This window comes from Homo sapiens, chromosome 22 (genome assembly GCF_000001405.40).
Source record: "Homo sapiens chromosome 22, GRCh38.p14 Primary Assembly".
In the NCBI taxonomy this organism is placed as follows: domain Eukaryota; kingdom Metazoa; phylum Chordata; class Mammalia; order Primates; family Hominidae; genus Homo; species Homo sapiens.
This window is the reverse complement of record NC_000022.11, coordinates 46,960,252-46,976,934: the sequence shown is the minus strand read 5'-3', so window position 1 is coordinate 46,976,934 and position 16,683 is coordinate 46,960,252. Positions and strand designations below refer to the sequence as shown.

General features: G+C 51.3%; 1 protein-coding gene across 16 annotated transcripts in view, besides 1 other annotated feature; it reads right to left on the bottom strand.

Annotated features, from left to right (window-relative positions):
• TBC1D22A (TBC1 domain family member 22A) overlaps window positions 1-16,683 on the bottom strand; it is a 413,050-nt gene that overhangs the window by 198,765 nt on the left and 197,602 nt on the right. For 11 of the 16 annotated variants that reach the window (NM_001284304.2, XM_017028742.3, NM_014346.5 and 8 more), the window contains one exon: window positions 2,536-2,645. In NM_001284304.2, the coding sequence (NP_001271233.1) occupies window positions 2,536-2,645 (110 nt within the window). 16 annotated transcript variants of the gene reach the window in all.
• Window positions 10,475-11,153: an enhancer, noted in NCBI's record as "H3K4me1 hESC enhancer chr22:47361678-47362356 (GRCh37/hg19 assembly coordinates)". NCBI's record gives its function as "activates a minimal SCP1, AML or CMV promoter by ChIP-STARR-seq in primed H9 embryonic stem cells {active_cell/tissue: H9 hESC(primed)}" and the evidence as "EXISTENCE:reporter gene assay evidence [ECO:0000049][PMID:30033119]".

Below are 16,683 nucleotides of genomic sequence, written 5' to 3'. Positions count from 1 at the left end.
GCTAGGAGGCCCTTGAAGACCCTCTTCCTGGTGAGGAAGAGCCCCCAGCACACAGTTCTGGCTCAGCGGCTCCAATAAAGCCTCTGCAGCAACGGCGTGGACGGCTGCCACAGAGCCGATGAACAAACACGCCCTTGAAAGAACGCTGGGAACAACTGGTGGAGGCCGGGCTGAGAGCCTGCACTTCAGAAAACCAAGAGAGAGCTTCCCCAAGGGTTTCAATCAGGGCGATGATGTGGTGAAGAGGGTGCTTAAGGAAGATGGTTCGAGCAGTTCCAAAAGAATGAAATGGAGACAGTAAGACCAAGAGTAGGAAAAGGAGCTAAGAGGCAGAAGCGGCCAGGTCGTCCGGGAGCTGACACGCCGGTCTGCGTGTTGCCGTGGTTTTAAGTGAGTACATAGCCTCATACTTCTCTGAACTTAAAACAGCGGCAGTGCTTGTAAACACTAGTCGCTAGAGGAGCTCTGCTCGGACGGCCTTATCTACAGGAATCACAGCTGAGCTGCCAAGTCCCCTGGATGGTGGGAACTGACATCCCTCAACTCTTGCTCCTGGGAGGATCATGTGGAATCCATCGTGGCACGTGAGAGAAGATCAACGGCTGCCACGGGACGGTGATGTGCTATAAACACACGCGCCAGGAAAGCATGATCCCTCACACTCATCGGCCCTGCCAATAAACCATTGCATCAGACCACAAATCTCAGGTGAAAAATGAAAAAGCCAGCATCGATTTCATTGTACAGCAGATTTTATTTACAAATAGAGGGCAGATAATCTTGTATTTAAATGGCACAAGTCCCATCACTCACCATCAGAGAAGCGACATTTGAAATTTATAAAGTTTTACATTATGATTCAATCCTTTTTCTAAGGGGGCAAAAAGCCGAAAGATCTAGCAGAAAGAATAAAATGTATGAAAATATTAGTAAAGGAGGGGAAATGACAAATTGGTGCTTGGGCCAAAATATATCTCTAGTGGGCACATTTTTCTTTGCAAGGAACAAAGTAAGTCACGAGGAGTCTGGACCAGCCAATAGATACGAGGTTTCCATTCTCCAACCGCACAACAGGCTTCTACTTTCTCCTTTTTCATTCCTACATCATGAAAAGTAACAGCAAAAACCACACGTCTTTCCTCAACGGAACCTTTTAGCTAATATATTCAAATTAAACTTGGAGTCTAAACCTTAGACCACAGGCTATAAAAGCCATATTCTGATGATTCTGAATCAAGTAGATGAGCTGAGACCTCTTCACTTAGTGGTATCAGGAACAACCTTTACCGCAATGGCTCAGGAAAAGCCAAGCCCTGCTAGGCAATGCAGATGTCAAGTGACAACCCCATCTCTGTGTCTCTCAGATGAGGGCCCCCCTTTGAGCTGGGATAACAGGGATGCTGGCAGAACATGCAGACCCTCCCGGGAGGCCCCAGCTCTCAGCAGAGAGCCATCTACATGCGAACACCCGTGATGATCTTGGTGTTTGGTCCCTCAGAAAACGATTACCGACCCAAACCGCGCTCTGGGCTTTGACCCTCCTCTATCTGACAAGTCCTGCTCTGTCAGCAAAATTCACTGTCCCCTGTAATCTACTTCTTCCCACCTTTGGGTCTTTGGGGTCGAGTGCCTTCTGTCCCCTCATGCCATACTCACCCGTCTACCCTCCACCCCGAGTGAGCTTCCGGAGCAGGCCTCACCCTTACTCGCCACTATGCCCGGGTGTGGAGCACAGCACCTCACAGGAAGCGAGTGTCTAGAAAGGATGTACTGGCCTCAAATAAACTAAGACGCCCACACCCACTCCAGGGCCCATCCATCCCCCTCAGCTGTTCCTCTGTAGTATCAGCTGGCTCCAGTCCTCATTCCTGACTCACCTACCAACAAGGTCCTTCCCAGGTACTGTGTGGGAATCTGCCCCTACACCATGCCATAGGATTGGCCGTCACTGGGAGACCTGTGGCTTTTCTACAGAAATCTCAGCCACTAACCCTAGCTGATGCAGAGACCCGCAGGGTCCCCACTGTGGTGCAGGGGACTCCCACCAGCTCGTGTTGCTCTCTGGGAGCAGGCACAGCTGCAGCGCCCCACGCACCTGGAGCCCTGGCCACCAATACTGCAGGCGAGGGCTCACAGCCTGGTGTCAGAGGCCAGGAGCTGTGGCCCCCGATCTGAGGCCCTTTAAGGAGGATCCCTCTTAGCACAGCTAGCCACACACACATAGCTACCGTGAGCCTGTGCCCTATTTGGTGGTGGTGGCTACAGTCTGCAGGCAGCAGGGGATCAGACTCTGCACCTCGCCTTCCCACTGGGCCCTCAGCAGGACACGTGACCGTGCCCAGAACGAGGGGCACATACACTGTGTCTCACCCCTCGTCAACCCGGAGGGGTCTGTGCTATTCCAGATGTAGAAAAGTGAGGCTTCAGGAGGGACTGCATGGCCACACTGAGACTCAGGAGCAGCCTAAGGCCTCAGGCTCTCTTCACCGCAGGGGCTGTGGGCGTGGGCTGTGTCCCGTGGGCGCGGGCGCTCACCTGAATGCCATCCAGCAGCTTGCTCATGCACCAGTAGGTGTCGGCCTCGATGTTGCACAGCACCTCTGCGGGCACGCCGGAGACGTCCACCGTGTCCACCTCCTCTGCCTCTGGGCGGCGCCGAGCATGCAAAAGACAAGGAGACTTAGCCACACGGGACCTCGACCCACGAGGGGGCCCACGGAGGAACAGAGCTGAGCCTGCATCCAGCTCCCTCCACCCACTCTCATCAGTCTAGCTAAATGACTCATGCAGCCTTCCACCTCATCACTTAATGCTTCTCAATCTTAACACCTAATTAGTTGCAGATAATTAATATTCTGAATCTTCTCCAATTAATTAACATAATTAATACATTATAAACTATTGCTTCTCAGGCATTTCACATTCTAATAAGAGAGAAAATAGAATATATTACTTAATCCTAACAGATCTGAAAGTTTTTTCCTAAGATTTTGAAAACTCTGCTTCTGATATATTTACATATTCATTTGGCAATAATTCCTCTAAAAACCTCTTTCCAAAGTTAGAGTTTCCAAAACTGCACTGGGTAAATACTTCCATGCTATGATCAAAACCCCAGAAAGCCGTACCACAGATGTGCGTCAAAGATAGAACAGACAATGGCGCTCTAAATAATTTCCTTCTTAAAGTACAAAAAACCGAATGAGAAAACACAATCTAAAAGTTTTTAAAATGCAAAACAGATGCCTAATTGAAATGGCTTATCAGATATTTGAACAAACTAATTTTAGATCCTTACAAAACTGTTGTCATCCAGCAAAATACTCATAAATGTTTTAAAAATTATCTTCCCTATTTTTAATTTTTTTTTACTTTAGTTTTATTTGCATGGCATCTTCGCAAGGAAAACGTTCTTTAAGAAAAGAAACATTTCAACCCAGAATATATGTAGAAAGGTTGAAGCAGATAAACATCACAATCCTGATACGGATGATGCTGCCGCTGGTGTTGACCGGGGTCTGCTGACGCGCCAGGCCCTCTCCTGCGCACTGTGAATGTGCGTGCTCATTTCAGCTGTCACCACTCTGCTGTCACCACCCTTGAGCCCCGGACAACAGCGGGGTAAAGAGGGGCAGGGCCGTGGCTATGCCGAGCAGCCTGGTACACATGGGGAGGGGGGTGCCAGATGCAGCCCCACCTACTGGTCCCAGAACCCAGGTCCCTAAGTGCTCCCTGAGGACCCAGAGGCCCACCTCACATTCGTGTCGTGTACAGTCCTATCCCATCGCGCTGCTTCCCCAGTCGCAGCCCTGCACAATTGCTAACTCACACTGAAGTGTGTGACTGGAAGAGACGAGGTGACACGCCACCTCCCACGGTTCTTGGTTCACCCCAGAACCAGCAGGATAAAAGGGCAAGAGCGCCTCCGTGTCTGACCCTCCAGCAGGAGTGAGCAGCTGGGCGCTCGAGGGCCTGGACAGGGAGGCAACAGCCCTGGACACATCCAACATGGCGGGACCTGCGGGAACGTGGGAGGGTGGGCGGATTCCAGCCAGTTCGCACATCACTCCTCTCTCTGGGGTGCTGGGGGTGGACCCTCAGTCACTCCATGGGTATTGCTTTGATTTGGTTCTGGGTTTTGTAAACGGAGAGATAATTCATCCGCCATAAAATCCACTCTTTAGCGTGTGCGACAGAGTGGTCTTGAGTAGGGTCACAAGCGTCACCGCTAGTTCCAGAGCCTTTGCATCACCACGGAAAGAAACCCTGGACCCTTCAGCAGCCGCTCCCCACTCCCCACCCCACGCCTGGCAACCACGAACCTGCCTCTGTCTCTATGGAGTTGCCTATTCTGGACATTTCACACTGCTGGAATCAGGCTCTGCGGCCCTCTGTGACTGGCTCCTTCTCACTGAGCACAATGTTCTCCAGAGTCATCCATGCGGCAGCCCGTGTCAATGCCTCACTCCTCTTCACGACTGAGCCGCACCCCTACGGCCAGGCCACGCCGCGTCTCTGCATGCCTCGGCTGGTAGACCCTGGGCTGTCTCCACCAAGGGGTAATGTGGACACAGAGAGCCGGTCCCGTGGGCGGGATCTGTCCCTATACACCAGGCACCAGGCACAGACATGAGTGAGAGACCTGACGCCCTCAAGATGCTCATGAATTAAAGGGGAAAACAAGCGACTTTAAAGATTGGAAACATCAATGTTAGGTGTCGGAGTCACCCAGTGGCATGGGGAAATGGATGGGTTCCTCCTGGGACCCGGGCTTGTGAAGGACACCATTGTCCACAGCATACCGGGTGCAACCAGGCCCTCACTCTCTTGGCCCATGTTTTCACCCTAAAAGGCAGGTCCCAGTTCCCCATTCCTCGAATGCGGGGCTAGGATGACAAGTGCTGCTGGCTGGCCATGGCTCTGTCCCCTGACCCTCCTCCCAGCCGGGTGTGCCCATGACACCAGCACTCTCCTGGTGGTTCTGTCCACCCACCGGCTCCCTGCCGGGCTGCAGGCTCTCCCTCCAGCAAGTGGCAAGGTGTCTGGTCTCAAAACTCTGCTGGCGCAGGAGCCCGGGTTGACCTGAGCACACCCTCTGATGAAGCCCCCACAGGGACTCCCAGGGAAAGGCCCTGTCTCCCAATTTCCCACGGCAGCCCAAGGTGGGAGGTGTTATTTCTGCCGGTTCACAGATGCAGAAACTAAGCCTCCACGCGCTGATCAGTGTGCTTTGTGAGGCAATGGTGGGAGTGAGCAGGACAGGCCTGCCTCGACTCCAAGTCCAGCCCCCTCGTAACGCCTTTCCTACTGGAAGGACCGGCAGCAAAAGCCAAGCAAATAGACAGGAGGGTAAGTGGCCTCCCCCTGGCATCACTTCCTCCCTGGGAAAACAGTTTGGGCAGAATCAACTCAACGTTCTGCTGGCCTAGAGTGGGTCTGATTTTATTTCCTCTTCTCAGGGAACTGAATCAGCAGCAATCATCAGCAGGCTTCCTCTGAGAAGTTTCCCATCGACGTATCCTCTTTCAAGGGCCTTCCAAGCATGGAGACATTTCCTCAGAGATAATAAGAGTAAACAGGGAACTAAGGCCTCCCAGACCTTGACAGCCTCTGCCTGAGTGCACAGATGCAGCTGGGCTGTGGCAGCTCCGACTCGCAGAGCCAGGCGCCGCGTGAGCCAGGCAGGAGCCTCGCTCTCTTGGTCTGTTTAGCTGGCTTGTTATTTTATCTGAGGAAATGTCAGTGGCCTATTCTAGGTGTCATTTCTCACAATGGGCCATTTGTTACTCTTCAAGGTAATGAAGTAATGGCATTTAACTCAGAGAGCCCCCGTGGTGATTTGTCTTCTAAACGCCAGGAGAATTGGAATTACCCTTATTGTTAGAATGAGATAAATATCCCCCGCCAGAGAAAGCATCCCCCACTTTGGCAAAGGCACACAGAGTGGCACAGGGCACTCTGGACTCCAGGCTGTGACAGCGGGGTGAGGGCCAGGACAAGCTGCAGAAAATACCCACGGGCTGGTGTGTCTGGCCCCTGGGGAGATAGCCTGGGAAGGTCCAAGGCCACCCAGAGGAGCCCTGTCCCTGGGTGTATGGCCCAGGCGGAACTGCAGGCAAGATCAGCAGGTTTTCCCTGGCTTCTATCTGTTAGATGCTGATATACAAAACCAGAGTCCACTGTGGGGAGAGAATGGTCTCTGAATCAAGACTCGGAGATGGCCAACACCCATGACAGATTTTAACCCAAGACCTTCCCACTCAACGGTACACACTGTCCGCCAGGCATGCTGCCACCCATGAGGCAAGGAGGGAGAACGAGAAGGGAGCAAACTGGAACGAGGCACGACCTGGGAAGCCCCATGGCTGGGGCCTGCATTGACCAGCATTGGGATGCTCACAGCCGGGCAAGCCACAACAAGGAGGACAGGTTTATCTCCCAAAACATGTGTCACTCCATAGGACAGCAGAGATGACAGCACTGACACCAATCGAAAAAAAGATTTTTCAGGTAAGATCACAAATGAGAAAGGAAAACACAGACATGGTAATTCCAAGCAATCCCAGGGTTCAAAGGAAGAAACGCGATTGAAAGGAAAAAATGATCAATACACAGGTGAAAGCAGAGACAGGAAGCAGAACCAGATGCCAATCAACGGAGGGTGGGGCCTAATGAAATGACAGCCATGGCTGTGGCCCTGGGGGTGGGGGTCAGGCAGGGGGCGGCTCTCAGGCCCCGGGGCCTTGGGAGATCTGGGCTTAGAGATTTCTTCCTGGGTCATGAAGACATGCCCAAGCTGCCTCAAAGCAGCTGGATTCCAGGAGGTGGGTAATTCACAGGCATCCCTGGGCTGTGGGGAGGGCGAGGGGAGATGTATACAACCTCAGCTTCCTCCCAGCCAGGAAGGACCTTGACAGCCTGGGAGCCATGACAGAGATGGGCCACTGTGGGGACTTTCTACAGTGACATTTTTGCAAACACATAATTAAAAATAATGAAACTTAAACCAGCGCGTTTCCATCTGAAATATGATTGTATCTTTTACTTTTCTCATTTAATTATAAACATTAACACCAGCATGTATCACAGTGTTCTGGGACTGCATTTGGCCCTTTCTTCCCCTACATCAGTCACCACACCTCCCTACAAGGGGCAGCCCCGTCCCCTATACTCTGGGGACACCAAGTTGAGAAATGTGTCAGTCCTGACCCCAAAGAGCCCGCAAGGTGGTGGGATGGCGAGTGCACAGGCTAACCCCAAGGGAACCTGGAGGAGGCAGAAGAGGCTCCCACAGCCCAGGGCAGAAGATCAGCAGGCCCAAGTGGACCACAACAAAATGTGAAGTCATGGCACATAAAAACAGACACTGAGTTAAAAACCATCTCGCTTGCCTTCTTAGACCACAGAAAGGCTTTGGGGGATGATTTAACTAACCTTCTTTGAAAATGCTGCCCTGCTATAGTATTAAGGAAAACAACCAATTTGTAAAATAAGCCCCCCTTTATCAACAGCTCCATTTACATGGAAAAGTCTAGCACTGCATCTACAGAAATCTACACAGAGGGGCATCATCCAGGGATGCCACACACAGGAATGTCTGAACACTCCTGCAAGGTGGGGGGAGTGGGGCGGGAAATTTGCACTATTTTCTGCAGAAGGGCAGAGAGTAAAAGGGAATGTCAATTTTCACAATGAGCAGTTATTTCTGCAACAGAAAAAAACAATGTTTAAGCCACTTAGAACAGTTTAAATAAGGCCTGTCTCTTCCTCAGATAAATACCCCTAGAGCAGAAGATCCCACGGGTGGTGGTACTCCCCTTGTGAATGTTTTGAGAAACTTTCAGGGCATTTGGGGGTCAGAATGATTAGGGTGGGGGGTGCTGCTGGCATCCAGTGGGCAGGGCCGGTGCTACAAGGTGGGGATAGCACTGCACAGTCACCACGTCCAGCCTGAGACTCCACCAGTCCACGTGGATGGAGAGATGGACGAGTGGACAGATGGATATGGGTAGACGGGTGGATGAATGGTGGGTAGGTAAACAAAGCTAAGTTTTTGAAATGGAGGATATTTAGCTTGGTCAGGAGAAAACCACATGGAGACATAATTGCTACTCTGCAATATGCGAAAAGCTGTTTTAGGGAAACAAAGAGCAGAAATTCTTGGCCCCTCTTTCCACATCCAGAAAACAAAAAGGGTCAGAAGATTAAAGAAACAGTGGGATGGATGGGCTAAAAATCCAGATGGTCCTGGTGATGAAGGCTGCCCACTCAGGACCGCCGGCTACGCAGTGAGGACGCCTGCCCACTCAGGACCGCCGGCCACGCAGTGAGGACGCCCGCCCACTCAGGACCGCCGGCCACGCAGTGAGGACGCCCTCCCACTCAGGACCGCCGGCCACGCAGTGAGGACGCCTGCCCACTCAGGACCGCCGGCCACGCAGTGAGGACGCCTGCCCACCAACTGACAAAGCACTAGTGTGTTTCCACAGCAGGACTTTCTGCGTGGGGGCGCACACGTCCACGCATGATCCCACTCCATCCAAAAGCCCCCTGTGGGGTCCATGCCACGCTGCGCAGGTAAGGAGGCTGCAGGTAACACACCCAGGTCCTGCGCTAGGAAGTGGCAGAGCCTGGCCATGAACCAGGGCTCTGCCTGATTAGTCTACATGCTTTTCATCGGGTTCACAGCAGGACCCCGCACAGCATGGAGGCCTCTGACTCAGTAAGGAGCATCCATGCCGGAGCCTCCCTTGTGCAGCTCCAACTCCAGGCAGGTCTAACTCCAGAAATACAACAACCCCGCAGCCATGCCACGCAGTGCGTGGGTGCCTCTCCTGTCATTCAGCAAAAGAGCCCGTCACCACAAGGCCACCCAAGCTCTGGGTCTCCTAAGGGGCTCATTTCCCTCACGGCCCCCCACCCCACCTCTGTGAGACGACATCAGCCTCTGGAACTGGAGTAGAGGACTGGAATCGTAGCTTGTAATTACCAGGGGGTGCTCTGGAATCATAGTTTGTAATTACCAGGGGGTGCACTGGAATCGTAGCTTGTAATTACCAGGGGGTGCAATGGAATCATAGCTTGTAATTACCAGGGGGTGCACTGGAATCATAGCTTGTAATTACCAGGGGGTGCAATGGAATCGTAGCTTGTAATTACCAGGGGGTTCTCGAAAACAAAAAGGCTTGATGCGGGTTAAGTTCTCTCTCATATTAAACTACATGGAAGAGCTTGGTACTGGGGAAAGGGGAAAATCCCTCCAATGTAAACAGCTCCTTTCATTTCAAAGAATTCCAGGACACTGGTAGCAAGGTATGGAGAGCAGTCACCTATAGCACAAACGCTGTCGGTAAGAGCCAGCCCCGACGGGGAGTGCCAAGGAGGGAGCTATTGCCGTTACCACCACATTCATCACCCACACTGCACAAACCCTGCAATAAGCCTCTTCACTTAATTAGGAGCTTAACTGGTAATCAAAAATGTTCTGTTTTATAAGCAAGATGGAATTGCTCTATGGATCTAATCTTTTGCATTTCCCAACTTGGGAGTTTTAAATTGGAAACTCCAGTACTTTGGTGAGAGAGATTTGAACACTTCATTAAGTACATTTGGGTTCCAGGATGGAGAAAAAAGTCCTGCCTTGGTGAGAGTGGCATAACAACTCAAGACTATAAATTCGCCAAACTCTTTGGTTCAGCAAAAACAACTAACGTTATGATCAAATGGCTCTAGTGCGGGAATGTTTAATTCTTATATGGATAACGTTCAACTCAATCAAGGTTACACAGACTGAACCACAGTCACAGTTCCCGACTCTGCTCCACGGCTGTAAGCTTGGGCCATCCGCCTGCAGCCCACAAGTGCGGGCATACGGTGGGAGGGCGAGACGTTGGCAGACAATTATCACAGGACAAGGACAACGCCCTCAGCATGGCTAGACGAGGTGGCAGCATCAGACCAGCTCCAGCGATCAACTGCCAGCCCCAAGAGTGATCCCAAATGATGAGAACCGACACACTCTTCTCACCAACAGCATAGCTGTTTCCCATCCCACCACCCGCAAGCAGACCCGCAGTCAGGAGTCTCCAACCCCAAAACCCAAAGCAGGAGGCCTCGGGGCCTGGGAACAGGACAGTGTCTGTGAAGCAGCTGGCCTACTTTTTGTACAAAGAACTTGGTACCAAATTCCATGTGGAAAAAGTCTGCAGGCAACACTTGGGAAAATATCAACTGTGGGATAGATACTGCGGTAAAAAGTGAAAGAAACCTTCTGTATCTTTTGCCGTCCTCGTTTTGATGAGGTCACTTTTGCAAAAAGCAAAAATTCCAATCTCATAGTATTCTTGTGGCTTGAGTGGATCTTTAATGTTTCAATAATGCTGTGAGTAGGAGTTGTGGTTCATAGAAAAGCTGTTTGTTGAAACAGTGATTTCTTCTATTAACAAATATCAAACACTTCTATGTGTGAGAAACTGTGGGACGGGGAGAAAAGCGAGGACGAAACAAAGAACATGTTAGTGCCTGGAAGAGAGGCCGTGCCCATGTGCTCCTCTGACTCACAGACTCATGGGCTCTCCCGATGCTTTCGACCGTCTGTTACAGAGGGACGCAGCTCACACAGCCGTGCTGTGTGAGCTGGAACCTGCCAGGTGGAGAATGAACAGGGTGATGGGGCAGAAGGCACGGAGCCCGACCGGGCTGGAAAGCATGAGCACAGGGCCACTGGCATTCCAACCAAGCCTGGAGGGCGGCAGGATCGGATAGAGCGCAGGTGATGGGAAGGAAGGCAGAAAGTTCACAGACGGAAAGAGGAGGAAGAGCTTGTGGGGAGCGTGATGCGGAGGCCCCAGAGACTTCCCTGTAGAGGGACGGGAAGCGCTAGAAGACAGCTGTTTGTTAGAGTGGTACCCTCAGCACAGGGCCCCAGGAGAGTGCCATGGCTGCGGGAGGTGTGAGGAGCCAGCCCACCGCACCTGGGCAGGTGTCAGGGAGGGACGTGATGAAGCCAGCGCTGTGGAAACGAGGTGGGCACAGGCGGGTGGAGATGCTGCCACCTGGGGCCTGCTGGCCCAGCACTGCTGAGGCACAGGAGGAAGATGTGGGCCCACCACAGCTGCCCCTCCAGGTAGCAAACACACTGCCGGAGAACCAATGACTGCACCATCACGAAACCCCACACCAGGCCACCGGCCACAGGGACGGGATGAGGCAGACGTCGTGCCTGCTGCCGAGATGTCACCCCTGCTCAAGGCTCTGCCTGTGTGTATTAGTTACTAAATAAATTCAGTAAGATTCACCAAGCTCACCAATAAAACTGGCCAAGATTCCCCCACTGACACAAGTAACAAGAAACAGACCCTCTGAAGCACAAGGACCACTCAAAACACAGTTCTCCATTTGCTGCTCCGGAGATGACGAATGCATTCTGCAAAACAATCTGACAAAGCACGCCGAAGGCTTTAAAACCCACAGAGCTCTGCCGAGCCCAGACAGTGCAGCCGGTACCGAGACGGGGGCCGTCGGAATCCAGGAGAAAAACAGTCCCAGGCCCTGCACATCCATGGCTCACCGTCTGGCAGGGGAGTCGGCAACAAGACAAGGCCCCGTAACAAATGAGAATGGGCGGGGCACCCCGCCCCCACAGGTCAGATGGCAAAATGGCACGCTGGTGTGGAGAAGGTGTCCTTGCACTTTACTGTTAATAACACAACGAAAAATCAAGAAATACACCCACTGAAAAACACAATGCAGGTTCCTCTGCTGTTCAGATGAGGCAGCTAGCATCCCAAAGTGCTAACTGGAAGAGCTTGCTGCTCTGACAATCCAGCGTTCACTGACCGCTCCAGCAAGGTGACTTTGGTTGGAGCCACTTACAGAAGCCTAAGTCCCTTTCCTCATCAATCCTTGGTCTTCGATAAATCACTCTGACGCTCGGCCCCAAAGTTCTGCTCCTGTGTGGGTGCTGCTTACATCCCAGCTGGGAACCCCACCGCTCAGAGCAAGAACGGGCGTGCAGCTCACCAGTGCCCAGCGTGGCTGTGGCCCCTGTCGCAATTCTAACGAGCCCACGTGAAAGGCTGGCTGTGGTCACTCAACAGGCATGGCCTTGCCAGGAATCGGGTTGGCAACTCGACCCCTCAGCCCTCAGTGCCCCTGCTGGCCCATCCATCCAGAACCGATACATTTCAAAACACTCCTCCCTCTCTATTACATCCAGAAAATGGACCACACAAATCAGGTAAAAAACTGCTTACATTGTAACTATCCAAACTGGATGGATATAATCACAGAAGGATATGAGGCTACTGTATCAAAACCAAAATTGGACAGACGGTCCATGTATATTATAGCACAAAGCCAAGGCAAACTAAGACTGCTTCCTTTCGGGATGTTTTTCAGTATACTTCTGCTTGAAAAAATTTAATCAATTGTATGGCACTTCAATTTCTCAACAAAAAGAAACATGATCCACTGAAAAGAATATACGGGCCTCCCTTTAACAAAGAGGGTCCTTCCCTTCCAGCTTCTCAGGCCTTCCTGGCTGGCAGAGGCCGCATGCTCTGCAGGTCATCTGTAGGTGGGGGAGCGCCAGAGGGGCCTCCACATGCCCAGAAGGTACTCAAAAGGCATGACTGCAGAACAGCCCCACAAATAAACTTCTTCCTAAGTGACAGATACCTATATCATTTGCAAACAGCCCTGCTTGTTCTCCATGCCTACCCTAAAGTAGGCTTCACACAAAGAATGTGTTTCGGATGGCCCAGCCTTCCTACACAGAGCAGCATGAAACCAAGGCTCCAACAAGTGCACAGCCAATTACTGTGCACCTGCCAGAAAATCAAACAGACGCCGCTGGCAGCCAAGGAGGGGCAGGAGCCCGGCCCTCACACTAACAGGCAGCTGTGTTGCCCACACTCAAGTCCTGGTGCTCTGTTATCACAAGTGAACATCTCAGCACCCCATGAAAACGTGCATCGCTCCTGCTGGACCCAAGATCAGAGCACATAGAAGGAACAGTGGCCAGCCAGCTCCCGAGAGCCTTCAGATAACAGGTGTCCCTGTGGGCCCATGCCCTGCTCCTGCGCCTGCCTCCCCACTGCTGAGGCAAAGGCTGGAGAAGCTTGCCCACGGCACCAGCCACACTGTGTCCTCCCCAATATACAGCTTGGAGGCCGGGAGGGGAGGTGCACGGCCCCAGAATGCAGAAGAGCCTGCTCAGCCCAAAGACCCCATGTCCTGCCCGGAGTGGCACCTGGGCCCGGAGAAGGATCCCACCTTATGCCTGCAAATTGCCCTGTGCACCATTGATTCAAGGATGAAAAGAAAGGAAGAGCCTTCTCAGGCTTCCAAGATGGCCTGTCTCTTGGGTTTTATACTTGCCAAGGTTTCTACTTTCCTGAACAATATGTGTAGTGCTCGCTGGGAGCTGGGGAAGGCACAGGAACAAGGGCCTGCTCCATTCAGAGCCAATACACTTGGCCGGGAGAAAGCAGAACACCACACAATCGTGGAGGCCTGAGAGCTCTCTGAAGGCTCCCTGGGCCTTTCCAGCCTTGGGCACTGCGGGACCCAGGGCAGGCAGTGTGATGAGCACTGCGGGACCCAGGGCAGGCAGTGTGATGAGCACTGCGTGGCCCAGGCAGGGTCTATAGGGCATGTCCAAGACACCATGGGGTAAGGTGATCAGGCACTGATTTTTTTTTTTTTTTTTTGAGACGGAGTCTTGCTCTGTCACCCGGGCTATAGTGCGGTGGCGCTCCTTCTTGGCTCACTGCAAGCTCCACCTCCCAAGTTCATGCCATTCTCCTGCCTCAGCCTCCCAAGCAGCTGGGACTACAGGCGCCCACCACCACGCCCAGCTAATTTTTTTTTTTTTGTATTTTTAGTAGAGACGGGGTTACACCATGTTAGCCAGGAATGGTCTCGATCTCCTGACCTTGTGATCCACCAACCTCAGCCTCCCAAAGTGCTGGGATTACAGGCATGAGCCACTGCACCCGGCCCAGGCACTGATTCTTTTAAAGTCATCGTCACAAAAAAAATTTTAGGAACTCACAATACTAAATAAAGAGGGAAATTAGCCACAGATACGTTATGTAAAACACAGCCAGGATATCTCTTGGTCTAATTTTATCCCAATTTGTTTCTACATAGGTTTTGTTCAGCTGTTACATGACTACAGTTGCATTTCTGCCCTGTAGAATCTGACGTTTGTAACAGGGATCTCCCATTTTATAACATGCTCTTTGAAGCCATCCCTCAGGATGCTGCATAATTATCTACAGAACTGCAATCCCCTCGTCTACACAGCCGCACCCCTACTGTGGGACGCTGGCATCGTTTCAAACATCTTACTGTTACAAAGAATGCCCCAGTAAGCCTCTTCTCTCTATAAGGTATGTGATCCACACAGAGAGATTTCCTTAAGACAAACATCTCAAGTGAAATTGGCAGGTGAAAGAGCAGAACATTTTATTGAGAGATATTGGTAAAATATGTGAAAGACATGTTGGAAGTTTATTCTACAGCCAGCAGGGCCTAAGATCATCCACCTCACCAATCCCTTATCAGCACCTTGACCTTCTTTTCAGCTCTGCTCACTGGCAAGGTAAAAACTTCTCATTACAGTGAGATCTAATTCACATTCTTTATTGTCTGGTAAAGTTTAGCTGTTTTCCACACAGTTGTGACTGTTTCTTAAATCCGTCTTTGATTCATGTGGTTCTCAGTTAAAGCCACGCAGAGCAGGAGGGGCAGTGAGGTGGCGAGCACCGATCCTGGGCAGAAGCCAGCTGTCCTCCGCTGGGATCCTAGAGACACCCGCATCTCCTCCCAGACAGCACACTCCCCCCAGGACCAGAGGGCCGGCCACAGTCAGCCCTGCTGACTTGCAAGAGGCCTGTGAAGTGTACGTTCAACCACCTGCCACTGACGAAATCTGCAGGAACCTGCAGTGACTTTTTGAAAACATGCAGGAAACCAAACAATCCAACTCACACAATCTGGATAAATCTGTCAAAATACACACTCAGACACACTCACACTCAAACCCACACAATACTCTCTGCTAGCAAATTCCCCAGGGCTCTCACATGCCTCTCTGACGCTGGTGACGCCATCAATTGTGCCGCACTCAGACCACTGACCGAGTTCCTCTGTGCTGCTCTTGGGGTCCCTTTCAAACCCTGACAGAGCCATCCGTGCCCCCGTCCTGGAGTGAAGAAAACGGCTACTGAATGGAAAGTCTGGGTTCAAATCCTGGTCTCCATCAAACAAATTACCTGAAGAAATGACTTTAAGCTTCTTCGCCATGTTCACATGGGAATTACAAAATGCAAAACCAAGGCCGCAAGCATGAAATGTTGCAAGCCATACGGAAATCTGGAAACTTCACTAAAACCACATGAACATTTGCTGAAGTTTCTGTATTTGTTTCATGTGGATACAAGCTCTAAGGATGGTCTCAGAAATGTCTGGAGTCGCTTGAAAAGCTAAATGTAACGTGAATACAAAATTACACGGAAATGCACTATGAGCTAAGGTGCTGGTGTCTTTGAGCTGGCTGCGGCAGAACTTAGGTGTGAATCTACAGCAATTACTCAAATTGAATCTGAGGACAAATACATAAGGAAGGTGGATGATTCTTGACATCATTTGCCATATTTTCCAAAGTTCTTGACTGATTTTTTACAAAACAAGATTGTCTTAATATTATGGTACAATGAATATCTCTGTTTACTCAAAAGCAGTCTAGAAATTAGAGTTCAATATGAAAGCTGCCTAGGATAAAAAGTAAATTGACTGACACTAATTACCAAGAAAATGAAGAGTTTAAGCCTCAAAATGAGGCTTCAAAGATCTGTGTTTGTATCTTCCATGAAGGAGTCCTGGGCACGGGTTTTGTTTTTTTTTTTTCTTGTCTCTGAGATGTGTCCTCTTAGCTACGGACTGGGTATCTTTTTTTTTTTTTTTTTTTTTTTGAGATGGTGTCTCGCTCTGTCTCCCAGGCTGGAGTGTAGTGGCACAGTCTCGGCTCACTGGCTCACTGCAAGCTCCGCCTCCTGGGTTCACGCCATTCTCCTGCCTCAGCCTCCCAAGTAGCTGGGACTACAGGCACCCGCCACCACGCCTGGCTAATTTTTTGTATTTTTTAGTCGAGACAGCGTTTCACCGTGTTAGCCAGGATGGTCTCAATCTCCTGACCTCGTGATCCACCCGCCTCGGCCTCCAAAAATGCTGGGATTACAGGCATGAGCCACCACGCCGCGCCTGGCCTGGACTGGGTATCTTTTGTCCTCAGCTATGCCTGTGTGGTAGTGGCAGAGCAGACTGCCTGGTTGGGGACACTGCCAAAGGGCCAAAAGACGCCAAGAGGCCAGGCGTGATGCCTCACACCTGTAATCCCAGCACTTTGGGGGACTGAGGCCGGCAGATCATTTGAGGTCAGGAGTTCAAGACCAGCCTGGCCAACATGGCGAAAACCCGTCTCTAATAAAAACACAAAAATTAGCTGGGCGTGGTGGTGGGTGCCTGTAATCCCAGCTACTCAGGAGGCTGATGCAGAAGAATCGCTTGAACCCAGGAGTCGGAGGTTGCAGTGAGCCCATATCGTGCCGCTGCAGTCCAGCCTGGGCAACAGAGCAAAAACTCCGTCTCAAAAAAAAAAAAGATGAGTCCAACACT